The sequence below is a fragment of the Homo sapiens genome, chromosome 12, assembly GCF_000001405.40.
Source record: "Homo sapiens chromosome 12, GRCh38.p14 Primary Assembly".
NCBI lineage: Eukaryota > Metazoa > Chordata > Mammalia > Primates > Hominidae > Homo > Homo sapiens.
In genome coordinates this window covers 102,047,214-102,068,858 of record NC_000012.12, presented here as the reverse complement: position 1 = coordinate 102,068,858, position 21,645 = coordinate 102,047,214, and the positions used below count along the sequence as shown (strand labels likewise).

Genomic DNA, 21,645 nt, shown 5'->3' with positions numbered 1-21,645 from the left:
AAAATCAAACTTACTTACATGTTCCTAAAAGACTTTGACTTAAGGTGTCTTGCCATCTTCCACTTCCTCCCCAAAACACCATAACAGGAAGGAGGGGAATGACCCAGCCAAGGAACTCTCCATTCACATTCAGAGATAGTGGCTTTTGTAGATTTCACTCAGCAATCTTGAGAGGGCAAAAAAGCGTTCCCAGATATGTGGAGATGTGTCTGTCAACCTGATTACTACATATCTTCAGATTTAGCTCTGGTGTTTGGAAATAAGCCAGTGTACTTTAACCATTCCTTCCTATGTGATATACAGGAGGCAAGACTTTCTAAGGCAGGATATATTACAGGAAAACTAATAAAACCTAGCCTGGAAAATGAAATGGAGAGAAATACTATCTTTGAATGAAAATTTGGGATTTTAAGATTAATTTCCCAATAGAGCTCACCTATATTCCTATTTTAAATTTCCCACAATAATGTATATGTGTTTGTTCAGTGAACATTAGATGTCCAACCACAATCATCATCGATGTTCTTCAAAATGTTTTTAATATTATTAAAAGGGCTTCTCATGCTGGAAAACACCATGAACCATTTTCCTGGATTGACTGGCTTTTAACTTGTGACCCAGTTATTTTTTTAAAGTTGATAGCAAAGGCTCTAGCATGATCCTTTTAAACTCTAGAAACAAAGCTTCGGGAAGAAATGTTGGTGTTGAACTTCTGAGTAGTTTTAAGTGATTTTATATGGTTGTGATTCAAAATAACCTGACCACTTTAAGAAGTCCAGGTGCTGAGTCATTTACAGACACAGCCAGGGGAGGTTAATTAGAAGCAGCTGATAGTGGCATCATTTGCTGCTTTAAAAAAAAATAAACGGAGATGGTGATTCTATGAAGAGGACGGAGTGCTAACGAAATGTACAAAACTAAGCAAAGACTCAGGACTGAGGTTTACCTAATTACTACTGCACCAAAGGGGGAAAAATATCACTCAGTGAATTCAAGATAAAGTACCATAGCTCTATAAAAATGGTAATGGTTGCTCCTAAGAAGTCCCCTTGCTTCTGCCTCTTTCTCCTGACCAAACTCGTGTTTCCCCTGTGGCCTGGCATGGCATGGTGTGCCCTCTTGGGAACTGTAAGTACTAAATTCTTTCAATAGCATTGCCCTGTGTATCACTTAGTTGTCTCCATAAGTAAAAGTCCCATGAGTACAAATGAGTACACTGAGACCTTTTCCCAATCCCCTCAAAGAAGGCAGGATAATTTAGATTGTTTGCTCTTTTACTGGGGAATAGCTGACTATAAGTATCTTTAGGTCTCTTCTCTTGAGGTAGTTAGCTTTCCAAAGTGGAATCAAGTCTCCTGCCTAGAGGATATAAGGTTACAACTCAATTTTCTGTACAAAGTTAAGAAAGCCAGAACAATTTAAAGGAATAACGGGAAACAATTCTTAACACAATTGAAGTAACAAGGCTAGAATTCCTTCACTTAACCAAGTCTCAACAGATTATTGGTATCACTCCTGAGAGATGGGATTGAGGAGGGAATAAGAATAGGAAACATTTAATTTTATTTTCCCACTATTATGAATCAACACCACACCTCTCTAACTGTTCCATCCTGAAGCAAAGCACGGAGAAATACAACAACAAAAAAAAAAAATGGGGACGATTTTTTATTGTTTCCCCACCCAAGACCATACCTGTGATAAAAGTAAATAACAGCAATTTTCTGGTAATCTTATTACCAGAACATTTCAAGAAATTGAAAAATTCTTAGTTTTTTATTAAATGAATATATGGAGGTGGCACATATAGTCTTTGAAATCAGTATTCATTACAATCTATTTTGCCCCCAAAATTCACTACAGTAAATGAAATCTGGTAATATTTTTCATTTTTACCAGTGCAAGAAAGCCTGAAGGAAAGAGTACCTATTTCATCTGGCGGTTGGCCAAGACTTCTAGGTATAGATTCTTTTTAATAGTCCTGGAAATCAGTTATTAAAATGTGAATGGCCCTGCTCTCAGGAGCTAAGGATGGAACAGTAATCATCAAAGATCCTAGGAGGCAAAGAAACTGCCACTCTAAAAACTAAACCATTTTACAAATTTTTTTTGATAGTCTATTGCTCCTAGGCCACAAACCTGTATAGCATGTTACTGTACTAAATCCTATAGGCAATTGTAACACCATGGTATTTGTGTATCTAAACATGGAAAAGATGTATGAAAAACACTTATACCTTTTACTATAATAGGTCCATCCTCTAATATGTAGTCCATCACTGATGAAATGGTTTGTGGCCCATAACTGTGTATAGAACCATATCATATACATGTATATACACACATACACATATATAAATGCCTGCTACTTATACATAACTATAACCATGAAGTTGCTGTGTTGGTTTGTCTTAATTTTTCTCCTGGCTGGGAGCCTGTCTTGGCTCTAGAGAAGAAGGCTAGGCTGACCAGTGGGGAATTCTGCTCAGGGAGACTGATTGAGTACCCAGAGTTATGAGTCCCACCTAAATCAAAGGTTAATGAAATATCAAGTAAGATGTGGAAGTACAAGATTCATTAAGCCCAAATGTCACTCAGAAGATACTTAGTGTTTACTATAGGACAAACATTGGGCTAGGACCTTAATGGTGAACTAACAGAGACTCTGCCCTAAATTGGTAATATAGTAGGCTTTCAAGCAAACAGGCAATTATATGTGCTAAGATAGAGTTAAGCAGAGAATGCTATGGAAGCATGTAAGAACAGTTAATCTAATCTGTGTGGCTTTGGGAAAGCTCTAAGGATGGAATGTTAAGACTTCTGCTACTAGTTCGAATACAGAAAGATGCATGAAAGCCTTTTATTTAGTGGTAATAAGAAATAACCAGATAAAAATCATACTTTTTATGGGGCTGTTGAAAAGCCATGTATGTAAGACCTTAATGAAATAAATTCTATAGTCATGCCTATGTTTGGAGGAACATAGTTGAGCAGAGAGCTGTGGCATTGCCATGCCCAGGGAGAAGGGCGTGGTCTGGATACAAGTAGATGGAAGAACAAGCCTGCAACACTCTAGGAGACTTTGCAGAGTTAAGGAGAAAGTGGCTAAGACTTTGCTACAAGCTGGTGAGACAGACTTGGGTCTGGAAGGACCTCAATCACGAAAATAAATCACTTGGGCCTACACCCTACCCCTAAGATTGCTAAGAAAGCAGTAATGGAGGAAATGTTTTCGGTAAGTAGAATTCACTAAATCTTGCACATTCTTATGGTGCTTGGATTCCTGAGCCCTGCTGAAGCTGAATCCGAAGGTGAACCAAATGATCTGAAACTATGGCCCATCCCTCTCTAACACAGACAAGATCCAAGAGCTCAGTCCTTTGCAGGAGGTTGAATTGAATTAACTGCAGGTAAACTTAATCTAAAGCTGCAGCCCAGCATCAGCTCAATTCAAATTGTGAATGAATCTGAATGTTCCATTTCTCACTGAACTTTGTTCTTTTTTTCACAATGTCCATAATAAAATTAAAAATTATAAGACATGCTAAAAAGCAGGAAACATAACCCATAATTAGGAAAAAGTTGTCAATAGAACCAGGCACATAGATGAACCAGAAATTGGCATTATTAGATAAGGACTTTTTAAAAACTTATAAATTTGGTTTTTTTAATATAGAGGAAAAGATGAATGAAGGGAATTTCAAGAGAAAAACAAACTCTAAAAAACAGATTTTTAGAAAAAAATACATCTGAAATCAACTTATTAGATGAGTTCTGGAACTAAATTGGAAACTAGAAAATAGTTAAATTGGAAACTAGAAAATACTTGAAGATAGGTTTGTAAGAATTATCCACACTGAAACACAGGGAGAAAAGAAAATGATTGGGGGGAAATGAGCAGAGCACCGTGATCTATGGGCAAAATCAAGCAGTCTAACATACAAGTATTTTTGAAGTCCCAGAAAAAGAGAAAAATGACAAAAACATTTTTTGAAGAATTAATGGCCAAAAATCTTTCTTCCAAATTTGATTTAGAACACCAACCCACAGATCTGAGCAGCTCAGCAAACTACAAGCAGGATAAATACAAAGAAAACCATACCCATACCCCACGCACATTATATTCAAACTTGAAAACCAAGGATAAAGGAGAGAAGATATGTGAAGAATGAGTAGGAGTTAGCCAGGCAGGGGTTGTTGGGAAGCAGGGGAGATTGTTCCAGGCAGAGGGAAGACAACATCTTGAAAGACCCACACACAGCAAGCAATTCCAGGAATTGAAAGAAGTTATTTGGGGCTAAGGAGAAAGTTATAACAGTGAGAGGTAAGGTTAAAGAAGTGGCCAAGAGCCACAGAGAGGACCTGTGAGCATAGTATCTGAGGGAGATGGGGAACAAAATTATATCCTGAGTAATATAATCAGATTTGTCTTTTTAAAAATCACTATGGCTACAATGTGTGGAGTAGCTTGGAGAGACACAAAATGGAGGCAGGAAGAGGCTATTGCAGTAACCCAGGCACAAAAGTGTGTTGTACAGAACTTGAGATATGGCAGTAAGGATGGAGAGTTACAGACTGATTCAAGAACTACTTAGGAAGTAGAAGAGGTAAGATTTGATGAATGACTAGATGTAAAGGAGGATGGAGTAAAGAGTGACTGTTAGACCTATGCAACATTTCCAGGTTCAGCCACCTACCCTCAAGTCACATTCATTACCTTGTACCAAACAGAATGTCCCGAAATGCAATTCTGATCATGCCACCCCCTGCTTAAAAGCTCTTCTGTAGCTCCCATCATTTCTCTGCTCTAGATCTTTCCATGACTTCCCATCATACCCAGAGTGAAAGCCAAAGTCCTTATGATGTCCCATAAAGCTCTGCATGATCAGGTCTCCACATAACTTTTAGCCATCATGTCCTTCAGTTCCCCACCTTGCTCACTCTGCTTCAGCTATACTGGCTTCCAATGTAAGGTCTGGGTTAGATATATAAATGTGAGAAACTCTAGAGATTGGGGACATAAGAAGCAACCAGCAAAAGAAACTGAAAGGAAATGACCATAGTGATACAAAGAAAACCAGAGAAGATCTGCCTTCCTGAAAGAAAAATTAAGAAAGTTCAATCAGGAGAAGGTGATCACGCTAAGGTTAAGCTGGGCAACGTGCAACTTTAAGAAACACCACCCACACCCAAATAATTGCTACAGATGGCCTATGAATCACATTAGATAAACATGGACTATAGTATCAAATCTGGCATAAAAGGCCCTTAAACGAAAATTTTCTGGCTACGTCTCCTGAGGCAGAATAGGGTCTGGAGGCAGGGAACCTAACGCCGATTCACGCTGACTTCCTAGAACTAAATCAAAAGGTAAACCCCAAATTTCCACACCTAAGTAACAAAAGGACCAGCGGCTACTCCCTTTGCAAATCCCCACCTTTTCTGACAGGCAGATGGAAATTGAAAGTACCTCAACCAATCAGACTGATTGCGGGCCAAATCTTCCTTTGCATAGAAGTGCAACTAAGTAACATCACTTTAGCCAATGATTGGTTGCTTTCCACAACCAATCAGATGTTTGTATAGGAGTATGACCTTTGTCATTTTACTTCAGCCTCTGATTGGTTGCTTTCCATAACCAATCAGACTGATTGTGGGCCACCACTTCATTTGCATGAGGAGAACACCAGTGTCCAATGGGAAATCTCTAGTGGGTATTTGGACCTAAGAAGATTCTGTATCCAGTACACTGTGGAGCGTACTTTGGTTTTCAATGAATCTTTGCTTTTGTTGGTTCATTCTCTCCTTGATTTGTGCGTTTTGTCCAATTCTTTGTTCAAAAGAACCTGGACACCCTCCACCAGTAACACTCTTACCTCATTTCCTACCATTCTCCATTTATGGGATTATTTGCTTCAACCAAACCAACAGGCCAGGTGCCAGTGGCTCACACCTATAATCCCAGCACTTAGGGAGGCCAAGGCATGAGGATCATTTGAGCCAAAGGGTTTGAGACTAAGGTGAGCTATGATCCTCACTGCACGCCAGACTGGGTAACAAAGCGAGACCCCCCATCTTTAAAACAAAACTGCCCACTGCAGTCTTGGTCTTCATCTTTTTGATGCTCCCTGTAAGTGGCAGTCACTTCCGTAGGTTTGTGCCTCACATCTAGTAGTTGACATTTTATTTCATGTTTTAAAAACCTTTGGAAGACCAGGCGCGTTGGCTCACGCCTGTAATCCCAGCACTCTGTGAGGCTGAGGCAGGAGAATCGTGTGAGGCTGAGGCAGGAGAATCGCTTGAGGCCAGGAGTTCGAGACCAGCCTGGGGAAATAGCGAGAACTTGTGTGTATACACACACACACGCTTTGGAAGTAGGTCTTATTTCTCATTCTTCAGGGCATAAACCTCTCCCGTGCAGCAATCAAACTCAATCTTTGTTTTCCCAGTAAAAGCCTAGCAGAGTATATGGCACTTAGGATTAACAACAACAAAAAAAAAATTGTTGCTCAAGGAATGACGGAGTTATTATATAACAGACAGGACTAAGTAGGGATAACCTCAAAAGGACGCAACTTCTGGCTTTGTTTTTTTGTTTTGTTTTGTTGCCTCCTTTCTAAGATTTCAGTGCTCTAACTGCATCCTTGCACCACCGCGCGCCACCCCGAAATTGACGTCACAATCTGGACTAAAACTACCAATCCCAGAATGCCGAGCGAGGAGGCGGGCTCTCCGGAAGCCGCCGAGTGATTAGTGAGCGGAGAAGCTTTCTTCCGGCGGGAAGGGCCCCGGAGGCGGGCACTTGGGGGGAAAGTTGAGACGTGATTACCGGGTTGGGCGGGCCCCATCTGGGAGGGGTTTGTGGGTGAACTCGGGGTCCACCGCCCGCTGAGGAGATGGATGAGGACGGGCTTCCTCTCATGGGGTCAGGCATAGACCTGACCAAGGTTTGTAAAAGACGGTGCTAGACTCCCGACGAGCCGGGAGGAGGATGGGGAAGACGCAGCTTTCCGGGGAGACACCCACCTTCCGAGTCCCCACCCTGTCACGGCCTCGGGCCCTTGTGACAGGCCTGTGGGGCCTCAGGAGGGAGAGCCCCACAGTCCACCTTGAAATGGGGTCCCTCCTGAGCTGATTAAGGAGACGGTGTGCATCTCCCAACTGTCGCTTCCCATCTCGCTTGTCTCTCTGCCGCCGGCGACACACGCCGGTTGCGATAGCTAGCCCTACCTCTTATTCAGCCCCCAAGATTTTGTGTGTGTTTATGTGTGGTGCTTTTTGCCTGCCAAAATTCGTACCAGTGAGTCTAGAGCCTGTTCTCAAACTTTTGTGCACCTCTGTCATCTTCGGACACCCCACCCACAGCTTAGGAAACAAGTTAATGACTATTCCCAGTCCTTCAAGAAATTCATATCACACAGCAAAGTGCCTCGTGATTATGTCCAAATATGAAAAGATTTGCACTGTGTACGTTCCTCCTGTATGAACCATGTTTGTTTTTACGTAACACAGGTGCCAGCTATTCAACAGAAAAGAACGGTGGCTTTTCTAAACCAATTTGTGGTGCACACTGTACAGTTCCTCAACCGCTTTTCTACAGTTTGTGAGGAGGTAGGTCCGGTGATACTGGTTTATAGAGTCGCCTGGAAATCACCTTTCACTGCTGAGACTGACAAATGGAGTAAAACAAGAATTACAGTCTTTATTCATGTACCGTGACCTCTCATCACCCAATTGTGTTAACACATCTTAGGTTCTCTTTTACTCTGTTAAAATCAATCCTGCACCCCTCCTCTACTGAGTTAGTGTTCTAGAGGTCCCTGTGAGATAGGTCAGTCAGGCTTATTGCGATTAAAGGGAACAATAGGAAATCTAATTTTTTTTTTTTTTTTTTTTTTTTTTGTGAGACAGGGTCTCACTCTGTCACCCAAGCTACAGTGCAGTGGCGCGATCTCGGCTCACTGCAACCTCCACCTCCCGGGTTCAAGCGATTCTCCTGCCTCAGCCTCCTGAGTAGCTGGGATTACAGGCATGCGCCACCATGCCTGGCTAATTTTTTATATTTAGTAGAAACGGGGTTCCAACATGTTGATCAAGCTGGTCTCGAATTCCTGACCTTGGGCGATCCACTAGCCTCGGCCTCCCAAAGTGCTGGGATTACAGGCGTGAGCCACCGCGCCCGGCTTCTAAAATTTCACAGTTGAAAACAGTTTTTATTTTGCAATTTGTCATTCGTTCCCGTACCCCAAAACCACATTGTTTAAATTTATTTTACATTCTGGATCTAAAAGATGGCTAGAGGAGATAGCCTAGAAACATAACTTTGGCATCAAATATGATTATAGAAATGAAAATATTTTCTGCAAATGACTTGTGATGTAAGGATTAAGTACCCAACTAGGGATTAGGTACCAGAACTGGCACAGCAGTGCGCACCTGTAATCCCAGCTACTCGGGAGGCAGAGGCAGGAGGATCACTTGCGCCCGGGAATTTGAGACAAGACTGGACAACAGAGAAACTCAGTGTTTTGTTTTTGTTTTTGTTTTAAAAAAGAGGATTAGGTACTAGATCCAGGATCCAGGGAATCCCTGTCTTTTAAAAAGCCAAAAGAGGATGGGGAAGACAATGGGAACCATGGGTTGAAATTGCATTTAAGGAAAGAGCAAAGTAAATTATGGGACTTAGATATTCACAAGTAAGTCTGTTGAACATTCTGTCTTATGTAAGGTATAGCCTTAGCAATTAGAGTTTTTGTTAAGTGTGTTACTACTATTAATAAAAATTGCATGGAGATGGGAAAACTATTTTTTACTTGTATGAAATTCCAGTTATTGTTTTGTCTAATTATCAACATTTCTTCTGCCTTCTAAGACAAAGTAAAATATAGTAATTGGTAGAGTAAGGGGCTTAATTCAATTTAGTTTTATATGTTAATGGCCAGAAACTAGGTGCTTGCTTCCAGTCAGTTTTATTTCGTTCCTACTATCTCTCTAAATAATTTAGGATATAAAATTGACTGAATAAAAACCAGTAAGCCAAGGTTTTCACCCTTCGATTTTTATACCAGGGCAAGATGGAGAAGTATCTGGAAAGGGACTGTCCCAGGATTACTAGCAGAAAGAAGCAAATACTCTTATCCCCATAGCCCTTATCATCAAGCTGAAAAATAAAGAACAAAGCAACAAGTAAACACACCTATGAAAGCAACTTGTTTGAGCTGTCCTGAAACAGGGATAGCCCTTCACCTTTGTAGTGCCTAATGGTTCTTGAATGAGAGCTGTTTACTGACAACTAGATCAAAGAAAACAATAGTCATCTCATTTATTGATAGATTATGATCAAAGCCTCATGAGTCACTCTTTAACCTCCTCCTGTTCCTGTCTCAACTTCTCTGCAGCTGTTCTGGCTGTATCTGTATTCTAGTACTTCTTTGAACTCTAGAGAAAAGTTTGTTCATCAAAACCTCATGAAGTTTAAAGGTAGTCTATTGCCTTTTGTCCTTTTTCAAAAATCTTATTTCTTTATTTAAATTGACAGGTAAAAATTGTATTTTTATGATGTACAACATGATGTTTTGATATATGAATACATTGTGGAATGGCCAAACCAAGCTATTTAACATAAGCAATGCCTCACGTACTTACTTTTTTTTGTGGTGAGCACACTTAAAATCGCCTCTCTTAGCAATTTTCAATACAATATATTGTTATTAACAGCAGTCACCATGACATGTAGGAGATCTCTTGAACTTATTCCTCCTGCCTAACTGAAATTTTGTATCCTTTAACCGCATCTCCCCAATCCTCTTAACCCCAAGCCCCTGCTAACCACCATTCTACTCAATATTTCTATGAGTTGTACTTTTTTATCCTCCATATATAAGTGAGATCATTCAGTATCTGTCTCTGTTTGACTGGCTTATTTCATTTAACACAATGTCTTCCAGTTCATTTATGTTGTCACAAATGACAGGATTTCATTCTTTTTTAAGGCTAAATAGTATTCCATTGTGTATATATACCACTTTTTTTAATCCATTCATCCATTGATGGACACTTTTGATTCCGTATCTTGGCTATTGTGAATAATGTTGCAGTGAACTTTCAAGTACAGATGTCTCTTGAATGTACTAATTTTACATCCTTTGGATATATACCCAGAAGTGGGATTGCTGGATCATATAGTAGTTCTATTTTTAATTTTTTGTGGAACCTCTGTACTATTTTCTATAATAGCTGTACTAATTTACATTCCCACCAACAGTGTACAGAGGTTCCCTTCATCACATATATGGTTTCCAAATATAGTCTCCCATTCCATAGGTTCTCTTCACTCTATTGATGGTTTCGTTGGCTGTGCAAAAGCTTCGTAGTCTTTTAAAATAATTTTTAAAAAATAATTTAAAATCCAGATTCTACAAACTTCTTAGTGTGATGTAATCCCATTTATTTATTTTTGGTTTTGTTACCAGTGCTTTGGGGTTTATATCCAAAAAAAGTCATTGCCCAGACCAATGTCGTGCAACTTTCCCCTTATGTTTTCTTCTAGTAGTTTTACAGTTTCAGGTCTTACATTTAAATCTTGAATCCTTTTCGTGTTAAATTTTTTTATATGGTAAAGGATGAGGGTCTAATTTCATTCTGCATGTGGATATCCAGTTGTCCCAAAATGATTTATTGAGACTGTTATTCTTAACATCTGTGAAAAGTATGTTTCTGTAACTGTCTTTTCTGTGTTCTTAACATCTTTCTCAAAAATCAATTGACTTTAAATGCATGGATTTATTTCTGGGCTCTTTATTCTGTTTCCTTGGTCTATGGCTGTTTTGATTACTGTAGCTTTGTGGTAGATTTTCAAATCAGAGAGTGTGATCTCTCTGGCTTTGTTTTTTTGGCTTAATATTGCATTGCCTGTTCAGGGTCTTTTGTGGTTCAGTATGAATTTTAGGATTTTTTTTTCTATTACTGTGAAAATATTATTGGAAAATTGATAGGGATTGCATTGAGTCTGTAGATTGCTTTGAGTGGTGTCAACCTTGTAACAACATTCATGTTTCCAATCCATGAACACACGTTATCTTTCCATTTATTTGTGTCTTCTTCAATTTTTTTCATCAATGTGTTATAGTTTTCAGTGTACAGATCTTTCACCTCACTGGTTAAATTTACCCCTATGTATTTTTTTTGTAGCTATTGTAAATGAGATTTTTTTTCTTTTTTTTCAGATAGTTTACTTTTAGTGTATAGAAATGCTACTGATTTTTGTATGTTGATTTTATATCCTGCAGCTTTACCAAAGTAGTTTGTTAGTTCTAACAATTTTTTGGTGGAATTTTTTATAAGATTTTCAATATATAAGAGCATGCCATCTGCGAACAGAAACAATTTCATTTCCTTTTTTCCAATTTCAATGCCTTTTATTTTTCCCTCTTGTCTAATTACTATAGCTAGGACTTCTAGTACTATGTTGAATAGAAGGGGTAAGAGTGAATATCCTTGTCTTGTCCCTCATCTTAGAGGAAAAACTTTCAGTTTTCACCATTGCGTATGATGCTAGCTGTGGGCTTGTCATAAATGGCCTTCATTGTGTTGAGCTAGATTCTTTCTATACCTAATTTGTTGAGAGTTTTTATCATCAAAGGATGTTGAATTTTGTCAAATGCCTTTGTTCCATCTATTGAGATGATCATACGGTTTTTGTCTTTCATTCTGTTAATGTGATGTATCACCTTTACTGATTTGCATATGTTGAACCATCCTTGTATCCCAGGGATAAATCTGACTTGATCCTGGTGAATGACCTTTTTAATGCGCTGTTGTATTCAGCTTGCCAGTATTTTGTAGAGGATTTTTGCTTCTATGTTCACTGGGGATATTGACCTTTGATTTTCTTTTCTTGTAGTGGATTTGTCTGGCTTTGGAATCAGGATAATGCTGGCCTCCTAAATTGAGTTCGAAAGTTTCCCCTCCTCTTCAGTATTTTGGAAGAGTTTGAGAAGGATTTGTATTAGTTCTTCTTTAAATGTTTGGTAGAATTCAGTAGTGAAGGCATCAAGTCCTGGGGGTTTTGTTTAGTGGGAGACTTAACTACTGATTTGATCTCTCTACTTATTATTGGTCTGTTCAGATTACCTATTTCTTTATGATTTAGTCTTGATAGGTTGTATGTGTCTAGGAACTTATCCATTCTAGGTTATCCAATCTGTTGGCATATAATTGGTCATAGCAATCTCTTATGAGCCTTCATATTTCTTTTGTTTTAATTGTAAAGTCATGTTTATTGGAGTATGAACTTATATGCAGTAAAATTTACCATTAAGTATGAGATTGGACAAATGCATAATCATACCATAATCAAGATGTAGAATAGTTGTAGAACAAGATATAGAATCACTCCAAAAATTCCCTCATGCTCCTTTGCAGTCACCCCTTTTTTATCCCTAGGAATGCATTGTTCTGTTTTCTGTCAAAAGGGCCAAATTTAATCACTGCAATGGTCTCCAGTACTGTGGAAAAATTCCTGAGCATACAAAACACACAAACCAAGTTTTTAAAAAATGAGATACTTTTAAAAATGTCTTTAGCATATCAACCAAATGAAGGTAGCTTCATATTTTACTACAGATGCTCAGATATCTTAGGCAGAATTAAGTCCACCATTGCCATATATATGCCTCAACAGTAATATTTAAGAGTAGACTGTAAAAATAAACTTACAATCTTTAGAATCGTCAAAACAATGGGATTATTAAATGACCTTTGTAAGTTAAAGCAAAGTTTATAAAGTTGTCTTACATAGTTGTGAAATAGCTAGTCTAGTTAGATAGAATTAACGTCTCCTAAAACTGACCTGCTTGAAGAACTACTGTAGGTCATGTCTTTGTAGGTAGAGTATGTGAACGAAGATTAAGTACTTGCTCTTTTGTGTTAACACTGTGTCAAGTTTCAGACTGGGGCTGGTTGATAGAAAAACTAGTTAAAAAAAACTATTTTAAATAATGGAATTGAATTTTATGGAAATTCTCTGTGGCACCAACTCAACCACAGGACAGAAACAAAAAATTCTCATCTAAACATTCCTGTAGAAAATTGGGACCATCTAAAAATTCACCCCAGCTACCACCATGAAAGAAACAAAGAAAGCAAAAACTTCTGTTCTGAATATATCAGTGGTCCCATATTCAGATACTTCTTATCTACTTGAAAAGCTTTGATGGGTGGGGCACGGTGGCCCACACCTGTAATCCCAGCACTTTGGGCCCAGGTGGGCAGATCACCTGAGGCTAAGAGTTCGAGACCAGCCTGGCCAACATGGTGGAATGCTGTCTCTACTAAAAATACAAAAATTAACTGGGCGTGGTGGTGCACACCTGTATTCCCACCTACTTGGGAGGCTGAGGCAGGAGAATCACTTGAACCTGGGAGGTGGAGGTTGCAGTGAGCCAAGATTGCGCCATTGCACTCCAGCCTGGGTGACAGAGCAAGACTCCATCTCAAAAAAACAAAACAAAAGAAAAAAGAAAAGCTTCGCTGATTCTTTCAAACACACATCAGACCTTAAGTTCATTAGCATTTATAACGTCACTGAGCTGCATTGAGCTCTGTGGCTGAAAAAGCCAATTCTTTGTATTTCTGTGGTATCAGTTGTAACATCTCTTTCGTTTCTGATATTATTTGAATCTTCTCCTTTTCTTAATCTAGCTAAAAGTTTGTGGATTTTGTTTTTCTTTTCAAAAATCCAGCTCTTAGTTTCATTGATCTTTTCTATTGTTTTTCTAGTCTCTTTCATTTTTTTCTGTTCCGATCATTATTATTTTTTTCCTTCTACTAACTTTGGGTTTTATTTGTTCTTCTATTCCTTCAGTTGTAACACTAGGATGTTACACTTTGGATCTTTCATCTTTTTTGTTATAGGTCTTTACTGCCGAAGCTTCCTTTCCTCTTAAAACTGCTTTTGCCACCTCCCATAAGTATTGATGTGTTGTATGTCCATTTTCATTTGTCTCAAAATACTTTTAATTTCGTTTTTAATTTACTTGACCTATTGGTTGTTTAGGAGCATGTTATTTAATTTCCAGTTATTTATGATTTTTTTCAAGATTCCTTCTATTATTGATTTCTGGTTTCAAACCAATATGGTCAGAAAAGATACTTGATACGATTTCAGTCTCCTTAAATGTATTAAAATTTGTTTTGTGGCATATCATATAACCTGGAGAATGTTTTGTGTGCCCTTGAGAAGAATGTGTATTCTGTTGCTGTTTTATTGAATTTTCTACATATGTCTGTTAGGGCCAGTGTTTCATTATTGATTTTCTGCCTGGATGATATGTCCATGGTGTTTGTAGAGACGGCGTCTCACCATGTTGCCCAGGCTAGTCTCAAACTCCTGAGTTCAGGGGATCCTCCCGCCTTGGCATCCCAAAGTGCTGGGATTACAAATGTGAGCCACTGTGCTGAGCTCTTTTCCATTCTTTCACTTCAATCTATGTGTGTCCATTTTTTAAAGGTGAAGTGAGTCTCTTGTACACAGCAGGTAGTTGGGTCTTATTTTTGTATCTATTCAGTCAATCTGTGTCTTTTGATCAGAGAATTTAGTCCATTTACATTCAGGGTAATTATTGATAGATAAGGACTTACTGCTGCGATTTTGTTCATTGTTTTCTAGTTGCTTTATAGATCTTTTGTTCCTTTCTTCCACTCTTGCTGTCTTTTGTGATTAGATGATTGTCTCTAGTGATATACTTTGATTCCTTACTTTTCATCTTTTGTGTATTTACTATTAGGTTTTTGCTTTGTTGTTCCCATGAGGCTGACATAAAACATGTTATAACAGGCTATTTTAAACTGATAATAACATAATTGATAACATAAAAAACCTCTGCACTTTTACTCCACCTCTCCACATTTTGCTTTTGATTTTGCAACGTATATCTTTTTATACTGCATATCCCTTAACAAGTTATTGTAGCTATTATTATTTTTAATAGTTTTGTCTGTTAACTTTCATACTAAAGATATAAGTGATTTAATCACCATGACAGTATTAGAATATTCTGAATTTGACTGTATACATTTTTTTTTCAGCTCTAAAATTTCTGTTTGATTTTTTAAATAATAATTCCAATCTTTCTGTTACATTTCTCATTTTGGTCATTTATTATTTTCTTGATTTCATTGAATTGTTTCTCTGAATTTTCCTGAAGTCCACTGAGTTTCCCTAAAACAATAATTTTGGATTCGTTGTGAAGAAGGGTCAGTTACTGGTGATTTGTTTCTTTAGTAGTGACGTGTTTCTCTGATTATTCTTGGTCTTTGTGGCCATGTGTTGGTATGTGTGTGTTTGAAGAAGTAAGGACTTACTCCAGTCTTTGCAGACTGGCTTTGTCTGGGAAAGCCCTTCACCAGTAAGCTCATCCAGAGGTTCTAGACAGGCCATCTGTTGTGGTGCATGGCAGGCTTGCTGCTGGAGTCCTTGGGTAGGCTGGCCTGGTGCCTAGGTTCGTAGGGTTGTTCCTGGAGCCTGATCCACTGGGGTGGACCTGCTGATTAGCTCTATAGGGGTGGGCCTGGATCCTTAGGGTTCCAACTTGAAGCCTAAGTCTGCAGGGGTTGGTCTGGCACTGGGGTGAGCCTTGAGCCTGAGTCTGCAGTGTCTGGCCAGGTTCCAAGGTGGGCCTGGTGCTTGGAACCCCTGGGGTGGACCTGGAGCCAGAGTATGTGGGGGTGGGCCTGGGTCCTGGTTGTACTGTGACTAGCCTGGAGCCTGAGTCTGCAGGAGTGGTCCTGCAGCCTCCGTCCATGGGGGCCAATCTGGCAATGCAATCTACTGGGGTGGTCCCAGACTCTGGGTCTGCTGGAACATACCTAGACCCTGACTCACCACAGGGATTTGTCTGGGGCCAGCTTGGTGCTGGGGCAAGTGTGCAGCCTGGGGTCACAGGGGCCAGACTGGAGCCTGAGATTATAGGTGCTGGCCTGGTAACTTGGGCTACATGGGGCTGGCCTGGGTCCTACGGCAATAGTGGCTAGCCTGGAACTTGAGTCCACAGGGATGGTCCTGGAGCCTGTGTTTATGGGTGTCAGCCCAACAGAAGGGCCTACTGGGATGGGCCTAAACCCTACTTCCACTAGGGTATGGGCTGCAGGAGCCAGACTGGGGCCACAGGAGCTGACTTGGCACTGGTCAGGCCTGGAACCTATATCTGCAGGAGCTGACCTGGTGCTGGGGTGGGCCTGAACCTTGGGCCCATGGAGGCTAGCCCTGTGCTGGGATTGGTCCAGAACCTAGGGCCACTGGGGCTGGCCTGTCCCTAGAGCAGACCTGGAGACAATCTATGCAGTCTTGCCTGGTGCTGGGACTGTCCTGAGCCTTGAGCTGGTCTGGAACCTACGGTCCCAGTGGGACAAGCCTAGAACTCAGGACTGGGTGATCCAGCCTAGTGCCAGGATGGGCCTAAAGGCTTCGCCTGCAGGTGTCAGCCTGGAGTCTGGGCTGAGGGGGCTTGCTCAGCACTGAGTTCTGCTGGGGTGGGCCTGGTGTTGTGGTCCAAGGCAAAGTCCTGTGCTCACTGCCTCTCCTTCGCCCACCTGGAGGGTATCTCTCTCCATGCTGTGCTGCCTGGAGTTGGGGGAAGGGTGACATGAGTTCTGTAAAACTGTCCTTCTTACCCTCTTCAGTGTGTTTTTTCTTACTTTTGTGCTAAACCCAGTGCTGTAATTTCTCACCTGGTCTCCTTAGCTCTTGAGAATGTATTTTCGTGCGTGAATAGTTTTTCAAATGGATGTTTCTGTGGGAGGATCAGTGCTGGAAAGTCCTATTCCCCCATCTTGCTGTTGTCCCACCTTTTTCTCCTTTATGTATGATAATCTAGGGTTGACTGTAACTGATTGTCTACAATATATATTTTAGCAATTTGGATATTCATGTCAGCTGGAGACTGCTCAATGAGATAACAACTAATATTTATTGTGTACTTCCTCTGTGCTGGGCATCATACTAAGTGCTTTATGTGTATTTAATTATCGCAGTCAGTCCTTTGAGAGAGGTTTAGTTATCCCACTCATACAGATACAGAAACTAAGATGTAGAGAAGTTTAAATCATTTGCTTAGTCATTCATTCATTCAACATATCTTTGCATGCCCCCAGTAGTTGTAGCTGCATTAGCTGCACATACACAGATAGAAAGTAGCAGAACTGGATTCCCACTGATTTTTTAACTGGAAAAGTCAATATCTCATTGCTTTCTTACATTGCACTGCTTTATCTGATTAAGAAGCATGCTTATGTCAACTTCAAGTGAGAGAGTGCAGTACAAGTACCTTCTTATAGCTATATTAAAATCTATTTTTAGACTCATTCACTTCTTTGCTATGCTATGTCTGTTTGATGTAATATATTTTTATGTCAATTCCAAAGATACATGTATTCAAATGTAAGGTGCCATTTTCTCCCAAGGTAAAGTCACTTTGGTGTTTTGAAATGTTTTTGTTAATAGTGCCTAATAGGCCTCTAGTCCTTATTTATTTAAAGCCTCAAACAAGAACCAACTGACTGTTTCTCTCAACAAAAGAGGAACCTCAACTGTTAGTTTTTGAACTGAGAGTGAACTGGGAGGAAAAAGAAAACTTTTCCCACCCCCCGACAGGATCTGGTTTGAACCAAACCCAACCTTAAACAACTTCAGTCACAGATAAACCCTCAAGCCAGAATTAAGTTTGAAACAAATTGCTAGGGTTCTTTCTTCATCAGTGGCACTGTTTCTAGAGTTCTTCATTAAAGAGAAGAGTATAAAACTGCATTCTGTGAAGAACTCAACTTTGCAAAAACTTTCTGCATATTAGGCTACTTTTGTAACTCTTCCAGTGATTGGCACCAGAGTAGAAGAGAGATTAGATGACAGAGAAAGTAGTAGAATCAGACCCACATTACAGAGGTACTTAGGGTCATCTCCTCTTCCATCACAAATCCCCAGTGAGCATTTTTATTCTTGCTTTAGTCAGCAAAATCTTATGGTCATCCATTGGGACTGCAAATTTTGAGGGGTTGGCAGGAAGCAACATAAGCTCTATGCATATTGCAGGTGAAACCTGAGCATTTAACCTTATAGTGAATTTTAAAGTCAAAGGTACTTTATAAACAGGAGTGCCAAATGTGTTACTTTGGTTTTTTGTTTGTTTGTTTAATAATTTTTTTTTCTTTTCTTTTCCCCCCGAGACGGGGTCTTGCTGTATCACCGAGGCTGGAGTGCAGTGGCGTGATCACAGCTCAGGGCAACCTCAACTTCCTGGGCTCAAGTGATCCTCCCACCTCAGCCTCCCTAGAAGCTTGGACTATAGGCATGTGTCACCACACCCGGCTAATTGTGTGTGTGTGTGTGTGTGTGTGTGTGTGTGTGTGTGTTAGAGATGGCATCTTACTACATTATCTAGGCTGGTCTCCAACTCTTGGGCTTAAGTGATCCCTCGGCCTCGGCCTCCCAAGTGCTGGAATTATAGGCGTGAGCCACTGTACCTGGCCAGAATGTTATTTTAATTCAAACTTTTTTTGTTGTTTTTTTGTCAGACAGGGTCTCACTTTGTCACCCATGCTGGAGTGTAGTGGAGTGAACTTAGCTCACTGCAGCCTAGACCTCCTGCCTCAGCGCCCCAAGTAGCTGGAACTACAGGTGCGTGCCACCACACCTGGCTAATTTTTTGTATTTTTTGTAGAGACAGGGTTTCCCTATGTTGCCCAAGCTGGTCTTGAACTCCTGAGCTCATCTGCCTGCTTCGGCCTCCCAAAGTACTAGGATTACAAGCACCCTCAGCCAAACTCAGACTTATTACATGCCTAAGATACTGGATTTTTAAATAATTTTTTTAAATTCTGAAATTTTTCTTTTTTCTAAAATCTTTAGGTACAAGCAAAAGTGCTGAGAATTGTCACATAACCTGAAAGTTTCTTTAGTGCTTATCTTCTACATTCATTTTTTTAGCCTGCCATTGGACTTAACCTTTAATCAGATAATATTTTGCTTAAATCCTTATTTGCTCTTATATCTTTAACCACTGCTGGGCTTAAGTATCAGACACAACCTAATAAAACCATTCATTGCTTCCTTTTCTGGCTTCTGGGGCACACGCAACACAGTGGGGTATACCAAGAGATCCATTATCTTAAAATACTGTTTCTCTTTTAGAGAAATGGATATATAAACAAGATATTTTACAACCATGAAAAACCAGCATTTTATTTTGTTTCCATATTCAACTAGTAACTCCATATTTCCTTCTTTCTTTTGTCCTTTTTTTTTTAACTTTATAAAATGTACTGCCTTGGAAATACATGGGTAGTAAATCAAGCTTTCAGCTTATCTGACAAATATCAGGGACTTTGTAAATTCCCCTGTTATCCCAAACCATAGCATTTCAAGTTTGTTTTCAGTCTTCATGAAGACGATGGTTAAATGGATGGGAAAGACTGTTACCTTTCCATTTCCTCTTGCTAAAACTTTCAGAGGTGAGAACAGCTACTGTCACCGATTATGTTACTTATGTTATATCCACAGTCATCCATAATTTAGAGCAGTGGCTCTCAACCAGGGGACATATGGCTATGTCTAGAGGTGTCTTTGATTGTAATAACTGGGGAGTGCTACTAGCATTTAGTGGATAGAGACCAGAGATTCTGCTACCCATCTTGTAGTGCTCAGGACAGTCCCCTGCAGCAAAGAATATTTCACCCACAAATGTCAATATAGCTAGCATTGAAAAACTTGTTTTATAGTGGTCTGGGGATTGTATAAGGAAAATGCCACAAGCATACACATCTTAGAAATGAACTTCAGCAGCCCATAAATGAACCCAGGTATACCTTTTCACCTGACAATGGCTCTTTAAAAAGTATACATTCAGGTATGTTATACCAATAATTACACTGGAACATACAAAACCATTTATTATACTGAATTATCTTTGAAAAGTAGTTCTTTCTTAATCATGCCATGGACCCTTTGACAGTCTAGTGAAACCAAATTAATGTTTTCAGGTGGATAGAATAAAATGCATAGGATTACAAAAGAAACCAGTTATATACTTAAAAAAATTTAAAACTATGACATACTAGTAGGTTCTTTATTAAAGCATTAAATTATATAATCCTTTCATATGTCTAATAACCTTAATTTTGAAGTATAAGGAAATCTGCAGCAATTGTGATGTGATTTAAAAAAAAAACTATGATTTCTATTGGTGACAGTCTTAGATCCTAAAACCACTGTGATTTTTTTTCTTTTTCTTTTTTTTTTCTTTTGAGACGGAGTCTCACTCGTCGCCCAAGCTGGAATGCAGTGGCGTGATCTCAGCTCACTGCAACGTCCGCTTTCCAGGTTCAAGCGATTCTCCTGCCTCAGCCTCCTGAGTAGCTGGGACTGCAGACGCACACCACCACACTTGGCTAATTTTTTTTGTATTTTTAGTAGAGTTGGGGTTTCACCATGTTGACCATCCTGACCTCAGATGATACACCTGCCTCGGCCTCCCAAAGTGCTGGGATTACAGGCATGAGCCATTGTGCCCAGCCTATGGTGATTTTTTTTTTAACTATGTTTTTAAACAATGCTGAATTTAAGCTAGAAGTAGATAAAAATAAAGGTAGAATTTTTTCTCTCATCCTAGTTCATGTACTGTAGTTCAGAACCACTTTGTAAATGATCATCTCAGAATCAGAAGAGCAAAAGGCTTTTCCTCTTGGCACAGAATCATCTTAGTGAGAAACGAATTGATCATTTGTTAGCTTTGGATAACAAAAATTCTGTGCAATACCCAAGAATTTACCATTATGTTTTAACAGTGTAAAATTATCTCAAAAAAATCTCGTGAAGTGTATTGCCTCTGGAGTTGGAGGGTTTGAGTTCAGGATATTTTACTTGTATGAGACTCAATTTTCTCATCTTTAAAATTGGCATAATAGTTCCTACTTTATAGATTTGGTGTAAGATTTCAATTGATATGTTGCATATACACTGTACCATATGTAGCAAGGTAAATACTCAGATATTTACAGTATTGATGATTATTGCTTAAAAGTAAATATATAGGTATATTAAAACAGAAAAATTTTTAATTCCATTTTTTTGTTTCCTTTTGTGTTTCCTTCAATCAAACCAATATGTCCATTTTTAAATAAGTTGGAAATTCTCATTCACTTTACATATTAATTTGCTGTGGAATTTTTTCTCTAGTGAATTGAGACTGATTAGATTTGCCAAAATTAAATTTCTATGATTTTAAGGAATACACTTATAATTTGGAGAGGGATTCATTCATAATACATGTTATAAACCTGTATTGGTGTTTACCTAAAAGCCTTATGTGAATGAATTCTAGAAGTCAAGGGTAAACTTAGCTTTGATACCATGAAAACTAGATCCTAATACTTTATTTGTAGATTATGTCTTTGTCGATATCAAGATGCTAAACTAAAAATAAGTGATCTGTAAAGAAGCACTATCTGCTTTGTGGCCACTTTCAGTTTTTTGCCCCCTCTAATTGTGGGCAAAGTGACCATTTCACAGGATGGTAAAGTTCTACTTAATAGTCAGGATCTTAATAATATCCCAGAATACAATCAGGATGCTGTGTATCTGCCAGCTTGTAAACT

The 21,645-nt window shown here is 39.3% G+C and overlaps 1 protein-coding gene across 6 annotated transcripts in view, besides 2 other annotated features; it reads left to right on the top strand.

Annotated features, from left to right (window-relative positions):
* The first annotated feature begins 6,734 nt into the window (after positions 1 to 6,734).
* Positions 6,735 to 21,645, top strand: part of WASHC3 (WASH complex subunit 3) — a 49,285-nt gene continuing 34,374 nt past the window's right edge. For 3 of the 6 annotated variants that reach the window (NM_001301107.1, XM_047428921.1, XM_011538423.2), the window contains exons 1-2: positions 6,735 to 6,947; positions 7,513 to 7,611. In NM_001301107.1, coding sequence (NP_001288036.1) covers positions 6,897 to 6,947; positions 7,513 to 7,611 — 150 coding nt within the window. In that variant the 5' untranslated portion in view covers positions 6,735 to 6,896. The remainder of the gene's footprint in view (positions 6,948 to 7,512; positions 7,612 to 21,645) is intronic. The other 3 variants (XM_024448998.2, XM_017019383.2, NM_016053.4) reach the window with 2 other exon arrangements.
* Positions 6,950 to 7,149: an enhancer, noted in NCBI's record as "active region_6878". NCBI's record gives its function as "activates an Ori minimal core promoter by ATAC-STARR-seq in GM12878 lymphoblastoid cells {active_cell/tissue: GM12878}" and the evidence as "EXISTENCE:reporter gene assay evidence [ECO:0000049][PMID:35858748]".
* Positions 7,160 to 7,209: an enhancer, noted in NCBI's record as "active region_6877". NCBI's record gives its function as "activates an Ori minimal core promoter by ATAC-STARR-seq in GM12878 lymphoblastoid cells {active_cell/tissue: GM12878}" and the evidence as "EXISTENCE:reporter gene assay evidence [ECO:0000049][PMID:35858748]".